The 22,391-nt window shown below is 45.7% G+C and overlaps 1 long non-coding RNA gene across 1 annotated transcript; it reads right to left on the bottom strand.

Annotated features, from left to right (window-relative positions):
* Positions 1-18,146: 18,146 nt before the first annotated feature.
* LOC107984900 (uncharacterized) lies at positions 18,147-20,802 on the bottom strand. Its single transcript, XR_001752076.3, has 3 exons — positions 20,731-20,802; positions 20,015-20,097; positions 18,147-19,820 (listed from the first exon to the last, which is right to left on the bottom strand). It is a non-coding gene; the product is annotated as an uncharacterized LOC107984900 (long non-coding RNA).
* Positions 20,803-22,391: the final 1,589 nt, after the last annotated feature.

Here is a 22,391-nt window from a genome sequence, read left to right on the forward strand (position 1 = left end):
TTCTTTGGACTGCTAAGAGTGTCCTATTGCCTAATACAAGACACTCTTCTAGACATAAATGGTAGAAAAAAAATCCCAAAGAGGTTTAAGCCAAAAATAAGAAATAGTTGGCTCAGAGAAGCCAAACCTGTGGTTGAATGGTCAAATCCCACGGATGCAGCTAGACTCCAAGAACAGCTGGAGTCTGGGTCTCACTTCTCTCTCCCCCTCTTTTGCTTTCAGTTGCTTGCTGCATTCACCCTCCCTCACAAACTGTCTTACTCCACACTCAGGGAACATTCATACTAATGCTTCCTATTTCACAGTTTAGACCTAAACCCACGGGAAAGAATGACTGACTGCCCTCCCTTCCCAAGTCCAAAAATCCCAAGGTGGGGATTCATTGGCCTAGTGTAGACCAGTTGCCAACTCCATGACCAATCAGCCATGGCTTTGCGATGGGGCCATGTTAGACCACAGCAGCTCTCATGGGAACCATGTATTACCTACCTAGCCAGTCTGCACATCTGAATTTGCAACTTCTGCAGTATACCCTAAAGGGAAGCTTTTCTATTTCTCTCATTATTTTGCAAAGCACTTCCATTCTTATCTTCATATAATCCTTATAACAACCTTACAATGGAAACAGCTGTCAGCCTTAAATCCAACATGATTTAGAGGGTCCTTTGGCTCAGGGAAGCTGGGTGCCCTGGCCAAAGTCACAGCCTGTCCATAGCAGAGGCAAATCCAGCTAAGAACCTGGGTGTTTTAACTTCTCTTCCAGTGTTTTCTCTATCTTTTTTTTTTTTTTAAAGAGACAAGATCATCTTGCTCTGTCGCACAGGCTAGAGGGCAGTGACGCAATCAATCATAAGTCACTGCAGCCTCAAACTCCTGGCTTTAAGTGATCCTCCCACTCAGCCTCCCAAGTAGCTGCAACTATAGGCACACACCACCATGCCCAGCTGATTTATTTATTTGTTTGTTTGTTTATTTAGGTAAAGATGAGGTCTTGCAATGTTGCCCAGGCTGTTCTCAAACTCCTGGGCTCAAGCCATCCTCCCGCCTCAACCTCCCAAAGTGCTGGAATTACAGGCATGCACCACCACACTTAACCTCTTCCAGTGGTCTTTCCCAAAACACACTGCATATTTGTTTTTTCCAGAATGCTCATCAATGAAGACCCAAGAATATAATCACTGGTAGGGCCCATGTGTCTCCCACCCTGGTAGCTATGCAGGCACCTCCCTTGAGGCGGCTTTCTGGCTCTGATGTCTATTTGCCTATAAATAGCAGACCCAGGGACTCTCAAGCCCAGAGAGGGAAAAGCACAGGCTTCTTAGGGACCTTTCCAACCTGCGGAGAATGGAAGAAAAGGAAACAGGAGGAAACCCTGGAGAGGGCCCAGAACAGCTCCATGGTCCGGCAGAACAGATGCCATCACTGGTGCCACCACTTCATCACCTCCTCCAGGACACTCCCTGGACCCCACAGAGAATCTGGTCTTCGCTCTTCACTAAGTATCCCCAAAGGAAGGCAGGGTTGACCTCCCTGTCTTCCTTCCTTTGCAGCTTCTCTTTCTACTCTTTCAATATGGCACGGTGGTTAGGTGTGCTGGCTTGAGAGCTGGTCTGCCTGGCTATATGGCCTTGGCAAGTTTTCACCCGTGTATTTCATTTCCATCATTGATAAAAAGAGTCCCTATGTCATGGATTTATTGAAATGGTTAAATAAGATCGTGAAAATAAAGCACTTAGAACAGCACCTGGCTTGTGGAAGTTGTAGTTACAATTATCGTCTATATGGCCAGGAGAGTGGCTAGGAATGATAGGGGCAAATTTGTATTGCTTGTTTTCATATTATACGAGCAATGCAACCACAAAGAAAAGGCAAAAGGCAGAAGCGGGGACATCTATGGAATAATTGGCATGGTCAGTTCAACAAGTCCATGTGATGGACAGAAGAGCAGAGGTATATTGTTCTAGATTTAAAGAGAGTTAGAAGACACAATAGCTAAATGCAGTGCGTGGTCCTTGGTTGGATCCCGGTTCAAACAAGCCCTTTGTAAAAACAGGGCCAGGTGCAGGGGCTCACGCCTGGCATCCCAGCACTTTAGGAAGCCAAGGTGGGAAGATTGCTTGAGCTCAGGAGTTTGAGACCAGCCTGGACAACATAGCAAAACCCCATATCTACAGAAACTACAAAAAATAGCCAGGCATGGCGGCACGTGCCTGTAGTCCCAGCTACTCAGGAGGCTGAGCTGGGAGGATCACTTGAACCAGGGAGGCAGAGGTTGCAATGAGCCGAGATCACACCACTGCACTCTAGCCTGGGCAACAGAGCCAGACCCTGTCTCAAAGCACACAGACAAACACACAAACACAACCATTTTGAAGGACGATTGGGGAAATCTGAATATGAACAATGTATTAGATAACATTTAAGACATTATTCTTAATTTTGTCAGATGTAATCATAATACTGTGGTTAGGTAGGAAAATATTTTTTTAGAGACAAATACTGAAATTTAAGGATAAAATATCCTGATGTTAGTAACTTTAAAATATTTCACCCAAAAGAAAAGAAAAAAAGATGACACAAATATTGCAAAATGTTAACAATCATTAAATCTAAGTGATAGGTTTGTGGGTGTTCATAATACTAGTCTCTCCACTTTTGTGTACGTGGAAAAATGTTTATAGTAAACAAACATGTTTATTGTAAAAATTTAAAGTTGCAGAAAACATTCCAAAGAAAACACAGTAACTCTACCACCTAGGAGAAAATTATCAATAATGTTTTGATGTATCTCCTTCCAAGTTTTAATTGTCTTAACTTTACTGCAATCAGAAGGCACATAAAATTCTGCAATTTACGCCAGGTGCCATGGCTCATGCCTGTAATCCCAGCACTTTTGCGAGGCTGATGGGGGCAGATCATTTGAGGTCAGGGGTTCGAGACCAGTCTCACCAACATGGTGAAACCCTGTCTCTACTAAAAATACAAAAATTAGCTGGGCTTGGTGGCAGGCACCTGTAATCCCAGCTACGCGAGAGGCTGAGGCAGGAGAATTGCTTGAACCTGGGAGGTGGAGGTTGCGGATGGCGCCACTGCACTCCAGCCTGGGTGACAGTGAAACTCTGTCTCAAAAAAAAAATTCTGCAATTTACTTTTTCTTAACTTATACACATTTTTCCTTGTTATTAAAAAAATGCAATCATTTTTAATGGCTGCAGAATATTCCTTTGAGGAGATAAAATGGAGCAGTCATAAGTTCCTCTACCACAGAATTGCAATTATAATTAAAATGATGATGATGAAGAGGATGATAGCCAATATTCACTGAGCACTTATTACATGCCTGAGCTCTAACATGCATTATCTATTTTCATCTTCACAACATGTGAGATAGCTATGATTTTTTTTTTTGAGACAGGATCTCACTCTGTTGCCCAGGCTGGAGTGCAGTCGTGCAATCATGGCTCACTGCAGCCTCAACCTCGAGCCCAAGTGATCCTCCTGCCTCACCCTCCCACGTAACTGGGACCACAGGCACACACCACCATGCCTGGCTAATACCTACTATTATTATCAGAAGAAGAAAATGAGACTCAGAGAAGTTAAGTGACATATCTAGGGTCACACAGCTAGGGAGTAGCAGAGCCCAGGCCCCACTCAGGCTATGAGGTACAAATGTAAGCCCATGCCTTTACTTTCATTTATTTGTTCATTCACCAAACATTGACAGGGCGCCTGCCCTAAGTCAGATGCTGGACTGGGTTGTGACTCACCCCAGAAGTTCACACTGCTGCAGGACACTAATGATTTTAAATTGTCAGACTAGGCCAGGCGCAGTGGCTCATGCCTGTAATCCCAGCACTTTGGGAGGCCGAGGCAGGCGAATCACTTGAGGTCAGGAGTTCAAGAGCAGCCTGGCCAACATAGCAAAACCCTGTCTCTACTAAAAATACAAAAATTAGCCGGGCGTACTGGTGGGTGCCTGTAATCCCAGCTACTCAGGAGGCTGAGGTTGCAGTAAGCCAAGATTGCGCCACTGCACTCTAGCCTGGGCGACAGAGTGAGACTCCATCTCAAAAAAAAAAAGATTGTCAGACTAGAGACCACAAGAGCCGTGATTCCTAGGGCCCTGGTCTACAGTGCCTGCATTTCTTCTCCACAGCAGATGAGAAAGCCACATCTCAGCCTTCTAGTAATAACTCATCCTGCCCAGGAAAAAAGCATCCCTGGCAGCCAGAGAAGGGGTGGGGGGTAGTGATAATTTATTATTGATAATTAATGACACCAAAAACCTTTTAATATTCATATTATTTATTCTTAGCCCTGTCTGGCTGCACTGGCACAAACAGTTTGTTGTTAATGAGACTAGGAGCATTTTTAAATCAACTTAATTGACATTTTTATGGTGTTCAGTGGGTCCGAACGCAAGATTTTCAGCTAGGAAGCTGGATAAAAGTGATAGGAGGAGGGAGGAGCTCTACAGAGCCCCTGGGAAAGGAGAAGGTCACTGAGGAGCAGCCAGAGGAGGGAGAAGCCTGATGGAAACAACTGGATCTGGGAATTTTGTGCTGTGGCTGTTTCCAGGTCCACCACTTCATTTTCATCATAGCTGCACTGCCCTGCAGGTTCCACCTAAGCTGTGCAGTCTTGGACCTGGGACTTGACTGCTCAGTGCCTCAGCTTGCCCATCTGTAAAATGGGCTTCATAATAGCCCCTTCCTCACAGGCTTGTTATGAAGATAACATGACATGGATTCATTTATGTAAAAAACTTAGAACAGTACCTGATGTTTTGCTACTCTTAGCACCATTGTTACTGTTTCTCCTAAAATGAATTTTATGAGGTCTCCACGGTTGATTTTAAAGCCGTTTGCCAAATATTCTGGAATACCTCCTTGCAAGAAGATTTTAGATCTCCACCTTGTTGAACTCAACAAGGGCCATGTGATTTGTTTTGGGTCACTACTCGGCAGGTGGAACTAACACGTGTCACTTGCCAGCAGATTTAAGAGCCAACACATTTTTCACTATGTCTTTTCTCCTCTCGTCTGCCATGAGATTGGCAATGTTCCACTTAGAGGTTCTCCCATCTGCCAGGTCCCAGAGTGAAGAAGGCATGGAGCAGAGGCACTGCCAACCCACCACGGATGTGCAACATGAGGAAGAAATAGACATTTGCTGTCAGAGGCCATGGAACCTTGGGGGTTGTTTGTTACGGTAGCTAAACCTAGCCTGTTGTAACTGGCACAGCATCTTGCCTTAACCCACTCTAGGCCCAATGGGAAAACGTAATCAGCAGAGAAGGACTGTGATAGGGGCTTCCGAAGTCCCAAAGACCAGCACCAGATCTAGCCAGGGAGGACTGGGGGAAGGGTGCCTTTCCATTTGAGCTCGGAGAAGGTTTTACACAACACGATGGTACTTTACATTTGTTGATTGCCTTCTCTGTTCCAGGTGGTCTACAGGTATTATCTCCTTTAATCCTCAAAACAGCCCTATGGCGTAGTTATGATAATGAAGGTGATCACTCCTACATCTATTATGGGGCACTGAACTTTTAAAGTTGAAGTTTGCTGGGTGTCATGGTTCATGCCTATAATCACAGCACTTTGGGAGGCTAAGGTGGGAAAAGGCTAAGGTGGGAAGCCAGGAGTTCGAGAGCAGCCTGAGCAACACAGTGAGACACTTGTCTCTACAAAAAAAAAAAAATTTAATTAGCCAGGCATAGTGGTACATGCCTGTAGCCCCAGCTCCTCAGGAGGCTAAGGCAAGAGGATCCCTTTGAGCCCAGGAGTTTGAGACTGTGGTGAGCTATGATCACGCCACTGCACTCCAGTCTGGCCAACAGAGTGAGACCCTGTCTCAATCAATCAATCAATCAATCCAATTTTAAAAAATAATAATAAGTACATAAAATTTAAGTAACTTGGCCAGGCGCAGTAGCTCACGCCTGTAATCCCAGCATTTTGGGAGCCCAAGGCGGGCGAATCACTTGAGGTCAGGGGTTCGAGACCAGCCTGGCCAACATGGTAAGACCCCGTCTCTACCAAAAATACAAAAATTAGCCAGGCATAACGGCAGGTGCCTGTAATCCCAGTTACTCAGGAGGCTGAGGCAGGAGGATTGCTTGAACCCAGGAGGCGGAGGTTGCAGTGAGCCAAGGTTACACCACTGCACTCCACCCTGGGTGACAAAAGTGAGACTCCATCTCAAAATAAATAAATAAATAAATAAAATAAAATAAAATAAAATAAAAAACAAGATTTAAGTAACTTGCTCCAAGTCCCAAGTGAGAGGCTTTGCACCAGGCAGAGTTCACATTCTTTCTACCACATAACACTGTCCCCTATATAGGTCTTTACCTTACACCTACATCTGAATCACTTGGGTGGGGAGAGGAGTGCATTAACATAAAGATTAACAGGCCTGCCCCAGACCTGCCATGGTGGGCAGAATCTTCAGCTGTCCCCCATGAGCTCTGCCCTCTGGTGTTCCACCTTGGTATAACCCCCTCCCCGTAAATGCAATTAGAACCTGAGACTTGCTTCTAATCAATAGGAGATGACAGAGGTGATGGGGCATTCCACCTATGATTACCTTTCATTTTATAAGTCTTGGTCTTAACATAGTAGAGATACTTTTTTCCCAGCCCCAAAGAAGCAAACAGCTATGGTGTGAACTGTCTATGGAGAAGGCCACATGGCATGGAACTACAGGATGTTTCCAGGACCTGAGAGTGGCCTCTACCTGATACGGCCAGTAAAATTCTAGGATTCTCCATCATACATACAGCTGCAAGCAAATAAATTCTGCCAACAACTTAAATGAGTCTGGAAGTTGGTTCTTCCCCAGTCAGACCTCCAGATGAGAACACAGACCACCCAATGCCCTGACTGCAGCCTGATGAGACCCTGAGCAGAGGACCCAGCTAAGCTGCACCTGGAATCCTGACCCACAGAAACTATGATACAATAAATGGGTGTTGTGTTAAACTGCTAATTTTGTGGTGACTTGTTTTGAAGCAATAGAAATTAATATACCAACACCGGGCACAGTGGTTCATGACTGTAATCACAGCACTTTGGGAGGCCGAGGCAGGTGGATCACCTGAGGTCAGGAGCTCCAGACCAGTCTGGCCAACATGGTGAAACCCCATCTCTACTAAAAATACAAAAGCAAGCCAGGTGTGGTGCCACATGCCTATAATCCCAGCTGCTCGGAAGGAGGAGGCTGGAGAATTGCTTCAACTCAGGAGGTGGAGGTTGCAGTAAGCCAAGATCACACCAGTGCACTCCAGCCTGGGTGACAGAGCGAGACTCTGGAAAGAAAGAAAGAAAGAAAGAAAGAAAGAAAGAAAGAAAGAAAGAAAGAAAGAAAGAAAGAAAGAAAGAAAGAAAGAAAGAAAGAAAGAAAGAAAGAAAGAAAGAAAGAAAGAAAGGAAGGGAGAGAGAGAAAGAAAGAGAGAGAGAGGGAAGGAGGGAGGGAGGGAGGGAGAGAGAGACAGAAAGAAAGGAAGGAAGGAAGGAAGGGAGGGAGGGAGAGAGGGAGGGAGGGAGGGAGAGAGAGAGGAAGGAAGGAAGGAAGGAAGGAAGAAACACCAGCTCAATCCAAATCTCTAAAGATAGGACCCAGGATGTAACATTTTGAATAAGATGCCTGGGTGATTCTTACATGCACTAACATTTGAGAAATGTCAGTGTACTGGTTATAAACACGCCATCTTAAATCTGTGCAGCCTTGAGTAAGTTACCTAAATTCTCTGGCCTCAATTTCTTAACCTGCAAAATGGGGATAAACATACAGATCTTAATACAAGTTATAACACAAAGTGCAGTACCTGGTGCATGAGAAACTTCAAAAGACAGTAGCTACCACTATGACTTTTTTTTTTTTTTTTGAGACAGTCTTGCTCTGTCACCCAGGCTGGAGTGCAGTGGCACAATCTCGGCTCACTGCAACCTCCACCTCCAGGGTTCAAGTAATACTCATGCCTCAGCCTCCCAAGTAGCTGGGATTACAGGAGTGAGCCACCATGCCCAGTTTTATGTGTGTGTGTACGTGTGTGTGTGTGTGTGTGTGTGTGTGTGTGTGTGTGTATTTTTAGTAGAGATGGGGTTTCACCATGTTCACCAGACTGGTCTCAAACTCCTGGCCTCAAGTGATCCACCTGCCTCAGCCTTCCAAAGTGCTGAGATTACAGGCCTGAGCCACCGTGCCCAGCCAACTACTATGCATCTTGAAGGAGGAGGAGGAGGAAGAGGTAGTCAAGTGAAGGAGGAGGGAAGAGGCATTCCCCCAAAAAGGCAATATCCCTGGAGGCATGAAAGATGTGGGGTTGTGAATGATGGAAGGGAAGTATGGATGCCCTCCAGCCAAAGACCACCAGAAGACACCTAGAGTTCAACAAAACTGGGTTTGTTGGCTTGTTGTAAAGAGGGTAACATACACCACGTGGGGCATCTCTGTAGGGGCATGTTAGAAAGAACTTATAGAACTTGGACTCTTGTTAGTCAGTTTGGAGGAGGGTTTAAGAAAGTGGGGCTTGAACTCCTGGCATGAGAATTGCTAGAACCCAGGAGGCGGAGGCTGCAGTAAGTGGAGATTGCGTGACTACACTCCAGCCTGGGCGACAGAGCAAGACTCCATCTCAAAAAGAAAAAAAAGAAAAAAAGAAAGTGGAGCTTTGGCTGGGTGTGGTGGGTCACGTCTGTAACCCCAACAGTTTGGGAGGCTGAGGCGGGAGGATGCCTTGAGGCCAGGAGTTCAAAACCAGATTGGGCAACATAGCCAAGGCCCCATTTCTACAAAAAATTTAGAAATTAGCTGGGTTCGGTGGCTGGTGCCTATAGTCCCAGCTACTCAGGAGGCTACGGTGGGAGGATCACTTGAGCCCAGGAGTTGGAGACTGCAGTGAGCTATAATTGTGCTGCTGCACTCCAGTCTGGGTGACAGAGTGAGGCCCTGTCTCAGAAAAACATACAAAAATGGGGCTTTGTTCTGGTTTGAATGCTATCAGGAAGCAGGAGATAAGTCTCTAACTGGGTTATCTTTTTTTTTTCTTTTCTTTTTTTTTTTTTTTTTTTGAGACAGAGTCTCACACCATCGCCCAGGCTGGAGTGCAGTGGCGTGATCTCGGCTCACTGCAAGCTCCGCCTCCCGGGTTCACGCCATTCTCTTGCCTCAGCCTCCCAAGTAGCTGGGACTACAGGCACCCACCACCACTCCCGGCTAATTTATTTTTGTATTTTTAGTAGAGACGGGGTTTCACTGTGTTAGCCAGGATGGTCTCGATCTCCTGACCTCATAAACCGCCCACCTCAGCCTCCCAAAGTGCTGGGATTACAGGTGTGAGCCACCGCGCCCGGCCTTTAACCGGGTTATCTTAATAAATGCTAGCAAGAAAAGAAGGAAGTAAGGCTAAAGCTGTAATTGGTGGATAAGTGGACATCACTCAGAGGAGCCAGGATGAAGATTGTTTGGTTATTTTTGAGGTTTGGACAATGCTCATGTTTTGTCTCTGTTCTGACATGACTGTGGAGTGGTTTTGTCTTGTCTGACTCATCACAGTCACCGAGTGACATTGTTCTTCTCTCTCCCTCTCCCTATCCATGCCGGTGAAAATCCTAATTGTCCTTTGTGGTTCATCTCAGAACCTCCTCCTCCACGAAGACTTCTAGGCTCACCCTGAAGTGGTCCCTGTTGGGACCACTGCCCCATAAAACCCTTCCTTCAAAACCATTTCATGCTAAAATGCGCTGCATAGTGGAAGAGTCTGATGGTCTTGATACTGGTTGGATATCAAAGAAAGACAGCCTATATCAGAGGCCAGCAAGAAGAGTAAAAGGGCCCAAAGCGGTCAGTAAGGGCTGGGGGACATTATTTCCTAATGACTATGAAGAGGCTTGACCATAGTGGGAAGCCCCAGGCACTCAGCCAGCAGAACCTGCCCACCAGGAAGCAAGGGCCAAGGTGAGCCAGATGGAGGATCTACCCACCTGTGGACTCCATGAGTTGGAAGATATGACTCAGAATTGAAAGAAGGACTTATTTGTACATTCTTCAGCACTACTGATCACTTAGTCATAAGGATGGTTAGTCTTGGACCTATGTCAGGTACAGAGTTGAGCTAATTATATTCAGAAATTATGGTGGTTTCAGGGTTGAGTTTCCAGTACACACAGGGCGCTGGGCAAGCTGAAGCCCTGGGGTTTGCCAGTGGTGACAGTGGTTCCCTCACAAGACAAGCTCAGGTAATGTTCCCAAACCCAGAGACATCCACTTGAGGACTGGGTCTCCCCCAAATCCTTTTAACGAACTCCTTTTCTGCTTAATTAGCCTAAGTTGGCTTTTGTTAAGAATCCCAGTGGGTACACCCACACCCCACCTACTCAGAAAGGATCATTGTTAACTCCAAGGTGTTCAAATTTCCAAATCTTTTTCTGGTCTTATGTGAATTAATACTTTTTCATAAAAATGGGATCACATTTTACATAATGTTGTATAACCTACCACAACTTATTTGAGCAATTCACCAATTGTTTGAAGTATTAAGCTTTTTCCAACTAATCCTCTATTTTTTAACAATTTGTTCCAACTAATTGTTGATTTTTTCCAGATTTCACAAATAGTGGAACTATTTGACTAATAATTGGCTACAAAGAAATCTCTGTCTCACCTTCCAGTTCTTTCAGGCAAACAAAATATTGATGACTAACCACTATTTTTTGAGTGCTTCATGTGGCACTGTGCTAAGTTTTTTAAATTATCATGGTAAAAATGAAAAACACATAATATAAAATTTACCATCTTAATCATTTTTTTTTTGAGGTGGAGTCTCCCCGTTGCCTAGGCTGGAGTGCAATGGCGTGATCTCAGCTCACTGCAACCTCTGCCTCCCAGGTTCAAGCGATCCTCCTGCCTCTGCCTCCTGAGTAGCTGGGATTACAGGTACATGCAACCATGCCTGGGTAACTTTTTGTGTCTTTAGTGGAGATGGGGTTTCACCATGTTGGCCAGGCTGTTCTCAAACTCCTGATCTCGTGATACGCCCGCCTCAGCCTCCCAAAGTGCTGGGATTACAGGCATGAGCCACCATGTCCGGCCATCTTCATCATTTTAAGTGTACAGTACAGTAGCACTATCTATATGCATATTGTCATACATTTCACATGCACAATCTCTAGAACTTTTTTATCTTGCAAAACGGAGACTCTATTGAACAACAGCAACCCTTTTGCCCCTCTCCACAGTCCCCAGGAACTACCATTCTATTTTCTATTTATATGAGCTTGACTACTTTAGATACCTCGTACGCTACAGTTTGGATGTTTGTCTTCCAAATCTCATGTTGAAATTTGGTCCTCAAGACTGGGGGTGGAGCCTAATGGGAGGTGTTTGGGTCACAGGGGCAGATCCCTCATGAACATCTTGGTGCTATCCTCATGGTAATGAGTTTCCACTCTGTTAGTTCCTGAAAGAGCTGATTGTTAAAAAGAGGCTGGCATCTCTCCCCACTCTCTCTTGCTTCCTCCCCCACATTGTAATCTTGCACATGCCAAGCTTCCCTTCACCTTCCACCATGATTGGAAGCAGCCTGAGGCCTCACCAGAAGCTGAGCAGATGCTTGTGCCATGCTTCTTGTACAGCCTGCAGAATCATGAGCCAAATAAACCTTTTTTCTTTATAAATTACTCAGCCTCAGGTATTACTTTATAGCAACACAAACAGGCTAAGACACTCATATAAACAGAATTACTCATATTTGTCTTTTTTTTTTTTTTTTTTGAGATGGAGTCTCACCCTGTCGCCCAGGCTAGAGGGCAGTGGCATGATCTCGGCTCACTGCAATCCACCTCCTGGGTTCAAGCAATTCTCGTGCCTCAGCCTCCCGAGTAGCTGAGACTACAGGTGTGGTGGCATATTTGTTTTTTTGTGACTAACTTATTTCAACTAGCATAACATCCTCAAGGTTCATCCATGTTGTGACCTATGATTTTCTTCTTTTTTAAGGCTGAGTAATATTCAATTGTATGTATATACCTCATTTTCTTTATCCATTCATCCATCAATGGACATTTAGGTTGCTTCTACCTCTTGTCTATTGTGAATAATGCTGCAGTGATTACGGGTGTGAAAATCTGCCTTTGAGATCTGTTTCCAGTTCTTTTGGGTATGCAATCCTTGACTTACGATAGTTCAACTTAAAATTTTTCAACTTTATCATGGTGCAAAAGCAGTATAGATTCAATAGAAACCGTACTAAAAGTATCCATACAATCATTCTGTTTTTCACTTTCAATAACATATTTAATAAATTACATGAGATAATCAACACTTCATTATAACATCGGCCTTGCGTTAGATGATGTTGCCCAACTGCAGGCAAATATAAGTGTTCTGAGCATGTTTAAGGCAGACGAGGCTAAGCTATGACATTCAGTAGGTAAGGTGTATTAAATGCATTTTCAACTTAATGATATTTTCAATTTATGATGGGTTCATCAGGACATAATCCCATTATGACTCAAGGAGCATCTGTAATCCCAGAAGTGGTATTGCTGGATCATATATTAATTCTACTTTTTTTTTTTGAGACAGAGTCTCACTCTGTAGCCCAGGCTGGAGTACAGTGGCGTGATCTCGGCTCACTGCAACCTCCGCCTCCGGAGTTCAGGTGATTCTCCTGCCTAGGCCTCTCGAGTACCTGGGACTACAGGTTCACACCACCATGCCCAGCTAATTTTTGTATTTTTAGTAGAGACGGGGTTTCACCATGTTGGCCAGGCTGGTCTTGAACTCCTGACCTCATGATCTGCCTGCCTCGGCCTCCCAAAGTCCTGGGATTACAGGCGTGAGCCACCGCGCCTGGCCTATTAATTCTACTTTTAATCTTTTGAAAAGCCTCTGTACTTTTTTCATAGTGGCTGCACCATTTTACAATCCCACCAACAGTGCACCAGGGTTCCAATTTTTCCATATCCTCACCAACATTTGTTATTTTCTGTTTTGTGATAATGGCCCCAACAGGCATGAGGTGGTAGTTCATCGTGGTTTTGACTTGCATTTTCCTAATGATTATAATGTTGAGCATCTTTTCCTATGTTTGTTGGCCATTCATATATTTTCTTTGAAGAAATGTCTATTTAAATCCTTTGACTGTTTTTTAATCTAGTTATTTGTTTTTTGCTGTTGTTGTTATTGCTAACTTGTGGGAGTTCTTTACATATTCTGGATATTAACACCTTATTAGACATATGGTTTGCAAATGTTTTCTCCCATCCGGTAGGTTGCCTTTTCACTGTATTGGTGGTTTCCTTTGCCGTGTCTAATTTCTTAACTTGTGCTATCTCATTTAATCCTCATCAAAATCCAGGGAGATGGTGGGGGGATTCGGAAGGGGGAGCTGAGACCTAGGATAGGTCCATTGCTTGCCCAAGGCCACACAGCCTGTAGTGCCAGAGCCAAGATTCAAATCTGTATTTTCTAATAAAACTCTCTTGCCAGTGTAGAGCAGGGACCATCCATCTCCCTTGCATATGCTTAGAAATATTCACATAGGGCCGGGCATGGTGGCTCACACCTGTAATCCCAGCACTTTGGGAGGCCGAGAAGGGTGAATCACGAGGTCAAGAGATCAAGACCATCCTAGCCAACATGGTGAAACCCTGTCTCTACTTAAAAAAAAAAAATACAAAAATTGACTGGGCATGGTGGTGCATGCCTGTAGTCCCAGCTACTGGGAGGGCTGAGGCAGGAGAATCGCTTTAACAGGGGAGGCAGAGGTTGCAGTGAGCCAAGATTGTGCCAACAATCTGGCAACAGAGTGAGATTCCGTCTCAAAAAAAAAAAATTCCCATAGGAACAGCTCTTAGGCAGCCCTGACTCCTCCAACATTTGCCCCAAATACCTCATAAGGACTGACTCTGTACTCCTCTAAATTCCTTACTACCCTTGCCACTCCCATCCCTTCTCCTTTCCAGGACTAAATCAGTAACGATACTCGATGCTAGGCATATGTGCCACCTCTACCTTCTCTAGAACCTAATTCTCATCAATCATTCTCTTTTTCCTAGTGGGTCTAAACTGATTCTCAGAGTCTTTCTTGATACAGTATTCCAAGCAGCCTCTATCCAGAGCTGACATGTGAGATGAAACCCCTATGCCATCTCTACTCAAGACTAGGAGTTTTTCCAGAGCAGAAACTGTACAGGATTCATCTCTTTAATGAAAAATTTTCAATACTAACAGCAACATTTTGTTAACTGTTAACATGCCTGAAGCATGTCAAAGGCTGTGCTGAGCTGTTTATATGTATTCTCCCCTTTATGTTATAAGGGAGATAATACCCATTTCTCAGATAAGGAAAGCAAGGCATAGAATGCTTAAATGATGCACAAAAAATTGTATTGCTGGTAAATGGTGGAGGCAAGATTGCAACTGATGGAGCTTGACTGACACAGCACACCATATCACCCCTGCCACACCCCTGTCTGTGTCCCCAGGCTCCACACAGAGTTTGGCATGCAGTAAGTACATAATCAGCGTTTTGTAAATGAATGAATGCACAAATTCTTGCATGAATGAATGAATTGGCTTAAGATGTGGTGCCAGGGTAAGAGGGGACCAGCTGCTGCAGACCCATGGGAGGTTGGGCTGTGGGAGATGGTTTCTGACTCAGACCTAGCTCCCAAACCAGCCAGGAAGAACTGCCTCCCTGCTTCTCAGCCTGAGAGTCAAACCTTCCAAGATTATAATTATCCTGCTTGCCCCACCCACGGCCCTGCTTCTCCTCGGAGCCACAGCTCACAGGCCTGAGGGCTCCAAATGAGAGGGGGCGGGTGAGGGTTGACAGATGGGTGGGGTGCCTCAGGGGTTCTTTTAGTCAGAGAGCTGGAGAAACCAGGGTGGGGGGAGGCTGAGGCACTGGAGTGGAGGAGGGAAGCTGCACAGGTCACCGCGCATTTCCCTGGTATCCTCCGAGTTGCCCAAGAGGTGGGGCACAGGCAGAGTGGTGAGCATGTGCCACTGAGAGCAGATATTCAGTGGGCGCAGCCTTGAAAAGAGGCAGGGCCTTGGACTGTTCATTGCTTCTCTCCAGGCCTCCATTTCCCCATCTCTAAAGTGACAGAGGAGCTCAGGTCCTTTGAGCCAAATTTTCTCTAACTGGCAGGCACATGTCTTGCGTAAAGAAAACAAATTTGCATCACCCTCAGTCTGCCCCACCCTCTTTCTCCCCCAGTTCCAGGCTGGCACTTTGGTGCAGACTTCCCTCTGCCCCTAACATCATTTTCACCACCCAGGGCTATGTCAGAGTCACCTGTGATCATGAGTCTTTTCTCAATCCCTCCCCACACCAGGCACGTACAGGGGGGCCATAACAGCTGGCACCATACATTTGGTCATGTATGTTAATATCAATAAACCATTTGTGATGCATGGTCACCACCATCACTGGACTTTACGGCCACTCTATAAACTGCACCCTGTAAAGGCTAGAGGGGAAGCTCATGGGCTTTGCAAACAAGTAGGCTGAATTCCATACCTGGTTCTCACACTTACCACCTATGTGGCTTGGGTAAATCTCCACTTCTTTTCACTGAGCCTGGTTTCCTCATCTGTCCAATGGGCATCGAACAGATACAGAAATGACAAGCATATAGTAGTTATCCAAGGTTCAGTAACTCCTGCTATTACTTTATCATTTTCACAAGTGCTAAGAGTTGTCTCCTACTCAAGACCAAGCAGGTAAGTAAAGGGCCCTCAAGAAACAACCTCTAGTGAAGTTATTAGAAAAAACCTCCAGCCTGGGCAACATAACAGGACCTCATCTCTACAAAAAAAAAAAAAAAAAAAAAAATACAAAAAATTCACCCAGCATGGTGGCACACACCTGAAGTCCCAGCTACTCAGGAGGCTGAGATGAGAGAACCACCTGAGCCTGGGAGCTCGAGGCTATAGTGAGCCGTGATTGTACCACTGCACTCCAGCCTGGGTGACAGAGCCAGACATTGTCTCAAAAAAAAAAAAAAAAAGAAACAGAAGAAGACACCTGAGGTGGCCCCTTGAGTTTCTATGTACAAGTCACATTACAAAGAGATGAATGCACACTTGCTCAAAGAGGGGAAGTAGTGATGTGGTAAATACTGGAGCCCAGTTCCGTGTCATGCTAGAAGGTGGCATACCCTGAGCCTCAGTCTCCTTATCCACACAATGGGAGTGTTTGTAGAACCTACCATGAAGGGCAATTGTTAGAATTAAGTGAAACAAGGTAAGCACTTAGCACAGGACTTGGCTTACAGGAAACAGTTAATGCCAGTCATAGCTATCATTCAAGGGGAGACAATAGCATTTGGGTCACCTGATTGATAGAGCAATAATCTAGCGATGGCCTGGGCTCACAACCTGTGTAAGTGGATTAAGACGTGATGAGGCTGTGGCTCTCACCTGTAATCTCAGCACTTTGGGAGGCCGAGGTGGGTAGATCTCTTGAGGTCAGGAGTTCGAGACCAGCCTGGCCAACATGGTGAAACCCCAACTCTACTAAAAATATATACAGAAATTAGCTGGATGTGGTGGTGCATGCCTGTAATCCCAGCTACTCAGATGGTTGAGGCATGAGAATCACTTGAACCCAGGTGGCAGAGGTTGCAGTGAGCTGAGATTGCACCACTGCACTCCAGCCTGGGCAACAGAGCAAGACTCTGTCAAAAAAAAAAAAAAAAAGAAAAGAAAAGAAAAGAAATGAAAAAAGACATGATGAGAATGAGGAAAGAAAAAGCATTGGTTTAGCCTGCAAGGAGCCTGGCAGGGTCGGGCTGCCAAGAAGTGTGGCTCTTGTAGCATTTCCCTCTGACCGTGGCCAGCTGCTCTGCACCTCCTTTTAGGGCTAGCAAGAAGAGAAGCAGGAAGAAAATGCAGCAAGCAAAATTCACTGTAGAATAAGGGAAAACTTCTGACCACAGTGGAAGATGTGAAATCGCAGGACAAGGGCACCATAGCACTGTGTCATCCTCGTTTCTGAAGCAAATCTCTCGTCCACTCTTGCTTCCCTTGACCCAACAGCTTCAGCTGCAGCTGTGTGTCTGGTCCCCGTGCGCCTGACACAGTTCCTCCACAGCCTTCCAAGTCCCTCTACATTTCTCTTTTGGGGCTTTTTCCAGAACTACAGAATCTCACTCCCTTGGGTCTCCACGCACAAGGCAGCCTAGAATTGCAGAGTTACGCCCTGGACAACCTTCAACCATTGATGGATAAATGCCCAAGCTCCCTCGACACGCAGAGGAACAATTCTGAAGTTTATTCTGGTGGCTTCTCCAGGTCCCCAGAAGCACTGAGACCCAGTTTCCCACAGCTCAATAACATGCCTTTTATTGGCTTCTTCACCTTCGGAGATTTACACTACTTGCTCCCTCACTCCTGCCTACTGGGGTCCCCTCCCAAATAAAACACCTGCACCCATGTCCTTGTCCCAGGCTCCAATATCAGAAGAATTCAAACTAGGACATAAACCTGGCAGCACCACCTCTCTACCTGGTCCAGGATGCCCTTGCTGGCCTCTCCTCCAGGCCGACTTGATCCTGCCTCTCCTGCTCTGTCCACTCTCTGGTGCTGACATCTGCATGATAGACACATCATATCCTATTGTCACAGTGCGTCTGTGAGCTCGTGCCCCACTCAGCTCCGAGATGTTCACAGGCCAAGACAGTCTCCTGGTCACCTGAGGGTCAAGTAGCTCAGGACACCCCTTATTTTTATTGCAGTTGTGATCATTATCAATAACCACATGGAGTCTGGTGACTTCTGTGTTGACATTTTGCATTTCTAGAAGGTAATATGGTGCGCTATAGAAAAAAACACTGAGTTAAAAGTTAAGATATCAAGGCCGGGTGCGGTGGCTCATGCCTGTAATCTGGGCACTTTGGGAGGCCAAGGTGGGCAGATCACTTGAGGTCAGGAGTTCGAGAGCAGGCTGGCCAACATGGTGAAACCCTGTTTCTACTGAAAATACAAAAATTAGCCAGGTGTGGTGGCAGGCACCTGTAATCCCAGCTACTCAGGAGGCTGAGACAGGAGAATCACTTGAACCTGGGAGGCGGAGGTTGCAGGGAGCCAAGATCACACCATTGCACTCCAGCCCTGGGCAACAAGAGTGAAACTCCATCTCAAAAAAAGAAAAAATAGTTAAGATACCAAGATTCTCAAACATTACCTGTAAGTTCAATAAAGGAATAGTTATATGAATAACGACATATTCGCTCAATAGACTACTCTGCAACCATTTATGATTTTAAAGTATTATATTATAATATTTTTTGCTAAGCTCTTAGTATATTCCACACAGCGGGCTAAAACCTTTTCCACACATTTTCTCATCTAATCCCCACAATAACCCATAATATAGGTACTGGTATTATCATCATCATCACTATTACTATTATTCTCATTTTACAAATGAAGAAATGGAGTCTTTATAAAAATCGTCAGCTAATGCTTATAATGCAAAGTTGAGGTAAAGAGTAGGATATCAAATGGTGTGTTCAATACATCTCAATTATATGTAAATATATATGTAGAGAAAACAGGCTAAAAGATGGTGTATTACAATGCGGGCCATTGTTGTCTCTGGGTAATGGGTTTATAAGTCATATTTATTTTCTTCCCGTCTAACTTGCTCAGTGATTATAGGCAATTCATCTTCAGGCTGAGGCTCCACTGCCCTGCCGTCACCTCCATGAGATGTGGGTTAGGTCCCCATGGCTCCACCTTCTCCTCCTTAAGAAGCAGGGGCCAGAGCCCATGAGCCCTGAAGATTCTACAGTCTGGATGTCAAGAGGAAACTGCCAGGAACTAGAGCCGAGCATCAAGAGAGGTTGCAGCAATCATGCTGGGTCAGATCATCAAAAGGACTCACAAGACTCCAACAAAGTAAAAGGTCTGAAAGGTTTTTCTTTTCAATTTTTTTTTTTTTATATTTCAAAGAGAGACAGAGTCTCGCCATGTTGCCCAGGCTGGTTCTGAACTCCTGGGCTGAAGCAATCCTTCTGCTTTGGGCTCCCGAAGTGCTGGGATTACAGGCGTGAACCATCGCACCTGGCCCTGAATGGTTTTATTACAGGCAAAGGATACAGAACAATAAGAGTAAGAAAACTCGGAGCAACTTCAGGAAGATCCACAGCATCCACGAGCAGTTGCTAAGGCCCCCCTCAGTCGCACGGGACTGGTTCGGCCTCTGCATCGTGAACCCCCTAGTGCATGGGGAAGAACTGGGCCTCAGGGAAGCCAAGGCATATGTTCATCTTATTTCCCTCTGGTCACATAGCCCAAACCAGTCTAAGTAACCAGGCATAATAACTGAAACCAGGTGCCAACCATCCATCTATGTTTTTCCAATAAACTATGTAGCAAGTTGGTACAGGGCACCTCCAGGCAGCTTTGGACTTCTGACAGCATGTTATAAATCACTGATTAGTACATCCCATCTTTTTTTGGCCAAGCCTATGGTTCCAGCGTCTCTGGAGAAAATGCACGGAGTTACACATACTAGCTTCAAGTTGGCCCTATTCTTACAGAGGCTTAGGATGAAGATTGGCCTTCCTGGGCCCCTGGAGTCACACTCCAGCTTTGCTCCAGATGAAGACCTAGAATCCTGAAATCACAGCTTGGGTACCAGGTGTGCAAAGTCATGGATAAATGCCCAAGCTCCCTTAACGCACAGAGGACCAAGCGCATGAACCTCCTGGTCGTGGAGATGTACTTGGATGTGTCCTCTTGGAGCCTGAGCCCAAACTGGCATGTCTCATTCAGTTGCCACTGATGCTCTGATCCTGGAGAAGTGGGAGCAAGGAAGGTGAGGATGGAGACTGGCTTTTCTTGCCTCCCTTACTTCTTAACCCTCCCCCATGCCCCACCTCCCTTAAAGTCCTCTGCCAATATCCCATAGCCTAACAGAGTAGAGTAAGCTTGGGATGCAGGAGAAACTGACCAACCTGAATCCCACCTTCATTCAATGAATACTCACGTCTCATGTGTAAGGAGCTTGTGGATGCTCTAGAGCTCATGGAAGTAGACAGAAGTCATCTCTATTCACATGGTGTTTACAGTCTAAAAGGAGTCAGGTAATTAACAAATAAACATTCAGATGAATACACAACTTCAAATAGTACAAGGAAAAGGAAACAATTTGTTGTGAGAGAGAATAAATGGTGTTGGAACCCGCAAGAGATCAGAGGCGAGGAGGAAGCGACACTCTCTAAGGGACTGGTATTTAAGTTGAGAGCTGTAGGAAGGACTGATTAACATAGAAGAAGGGGAAGGGGGAGGGAACAGCATGTGCAAAGGCCCTGAGGAGGGATTGCTTGGCAAGTTAAAGAAAAGTGACTGGAGGCCGGTGTGGCTGGATGTGGCAGGTGTGGGCAAGAGTGGTAGCAGATGTGAGGTTGGAATGGCAGAAGAGCGTTGTGCAGGGCCCTGCAGCCACAGCAAGGAATTTGGAACTTATTCCAGATGTGATGATCTCATGGGTTGACTTCTCCAAAAGCAGAGCCTGAGACAGGATTTGGGTGCAGGTGGTTGATTTGGAAGTTGATTTCTGGAAGCAGGAACAAGGAAAGGAAAAGATTTAGGAGACAAACCAATATACATGTCCATCATCAAGGTCACCACTGAGAACAACAGAAGCTCTGTGCTGCAAGGACCTCGCGAAAAGCATGCAGGAAGCCTCCTGGAATTTTCTACCTGAAGGAGGGATAGTGGCACATTTATCTTGATGATCGCCTCCCGGGCTGTTAACTCAGTACTTCTGGGCTAGACTTTTGCACAGACTAAGCAGGTTTCAACAGCATCCAAGAAGACCTGAAGGCAGAAAGCAGAAAGACTCAAGGCACACTCTTGAGGTGGAGTGAGAAGTTACTATCAGCGGCCGGGCGCAGTGGCTCATGCCTGTAATCCCAGCACTTTGGGAGACTAAAATGGGTGGATCACCTGAGGTTAGGAGTTCGAGACAAGCCTGGCCAACATGGTGAAATCCTGTCTCTACTAAAAATACAAAAATTAGCCTGGTATGGTGGCACATGCCTGTAATCCCAGCTACTCAGGAGGCTGAGGCAGGAGAATCGCTTGAACCTGGAACGCAGAGGTTGCAATGAGCCGAAATCATGCCATTGCACTCCAGCCTGGGTGGCAAGAGTGAAACTCCATCTCCATCTCAAAAAAAAAAAAAAAAAAAAAAGAGGAAGAAGAAGTTAATATCAACACAGAGGAGGAGCATGGGGGCAAGACATAGGCATGGGGTGCCTCTGCCACCAATGGGGAGCCTAAGACAGTCTTTAAGTGGGAGAGGGCCATCTGATTGCACCTTAGATGCTGTCTGCCCTGTTGTGCACACAAAGGGAACAAGAACCTTGAATGTGTCAAGTACCTACTCCATGCACCAATACTGGGAGCTTTATACACAGTATCTTTAATTATTCACAGTAGGAGTGATTATCTCCAACCGTCATGATCAGGGGTTTCAGGTGGTCCTAGTTGACAAGTTTCCCCAGGGGTAACTTCTCTCCTTCCATTTGATCCATGCCAAAGATGAGTCTTAGCACATAAGTCTGATGCTTAAGGAGCTTATTCTGGCATCTTCTTATGAGACAGACAGTGGGAGCAGGAGGCTGGTGGCATGGCCAGACACAGCCAGGGGTCAGATGACGGACTGACCGGGAGGGTGTCCATCCAGAGACCATTATCAAAGTTTGAGGGATCCTTCCCCCTTCCTTCTATCCATATTCAGTCCAGGTCCCTTACCAGGTGTTTCTTACATAAAAGGAGTTTAAGCTATTCTTGTGAGGATAAGCTTTATTTTAAGATTTATGAAAGTTATATCTGTGCCGATTTAACTTTGTCTCCTGGAAATCCCGGGGCCAGGCTGCATCATACTAAGTGACAGGTAGTGTCAGCCCCGCAAGATGCTCGGATGGGTTTTATGGCTACCATTAATCTTATAGCCACCAGATGTCTTTTATCGTATACTACACCAGCTTACAGATGTGGAAACTGAGGCTCAGAGGACTGCACTAATTTGCAGGTCTCACAGGGAGTAATGGAGCCAGGAGCTCCTACCAGCCCTTAATGCTCTTGTCTGCAGCTGCAGCAAGATCGGGGGCGGGGGGCCACTGTGTTCTTATCTGGGATTCTTCACTCAGCATGGGTCTTCTCTGGCTCAGGTGGTGCCAAGAAGCAGTTCTGGAGAGACCTGGGCCCCTGCATTTTGACTTTCTGCCCCTGCAGGTGTTCGCCTCCCCCACATGCAGAACTGTGCCGCCATGAAGGCTAATTATAAGTGCCGGGTATTTATAGTGAGTTTCTCCACCCAGTGCTTCCAGCACCTCGAGGGAACTATTTACAGAATC

This window comes from Homo sapiens, chromosome 16 (genome assembly GCF_000001405.40).
Source record: "Homo sapiens chromosome 16, GRCh38.p14 Primary Assembly".
Lineage (NCBI taxonomy): Eukaryota > Metazoa > Chordata > Mammalia > Primates > Hominidae > Homo > Homo sapiens.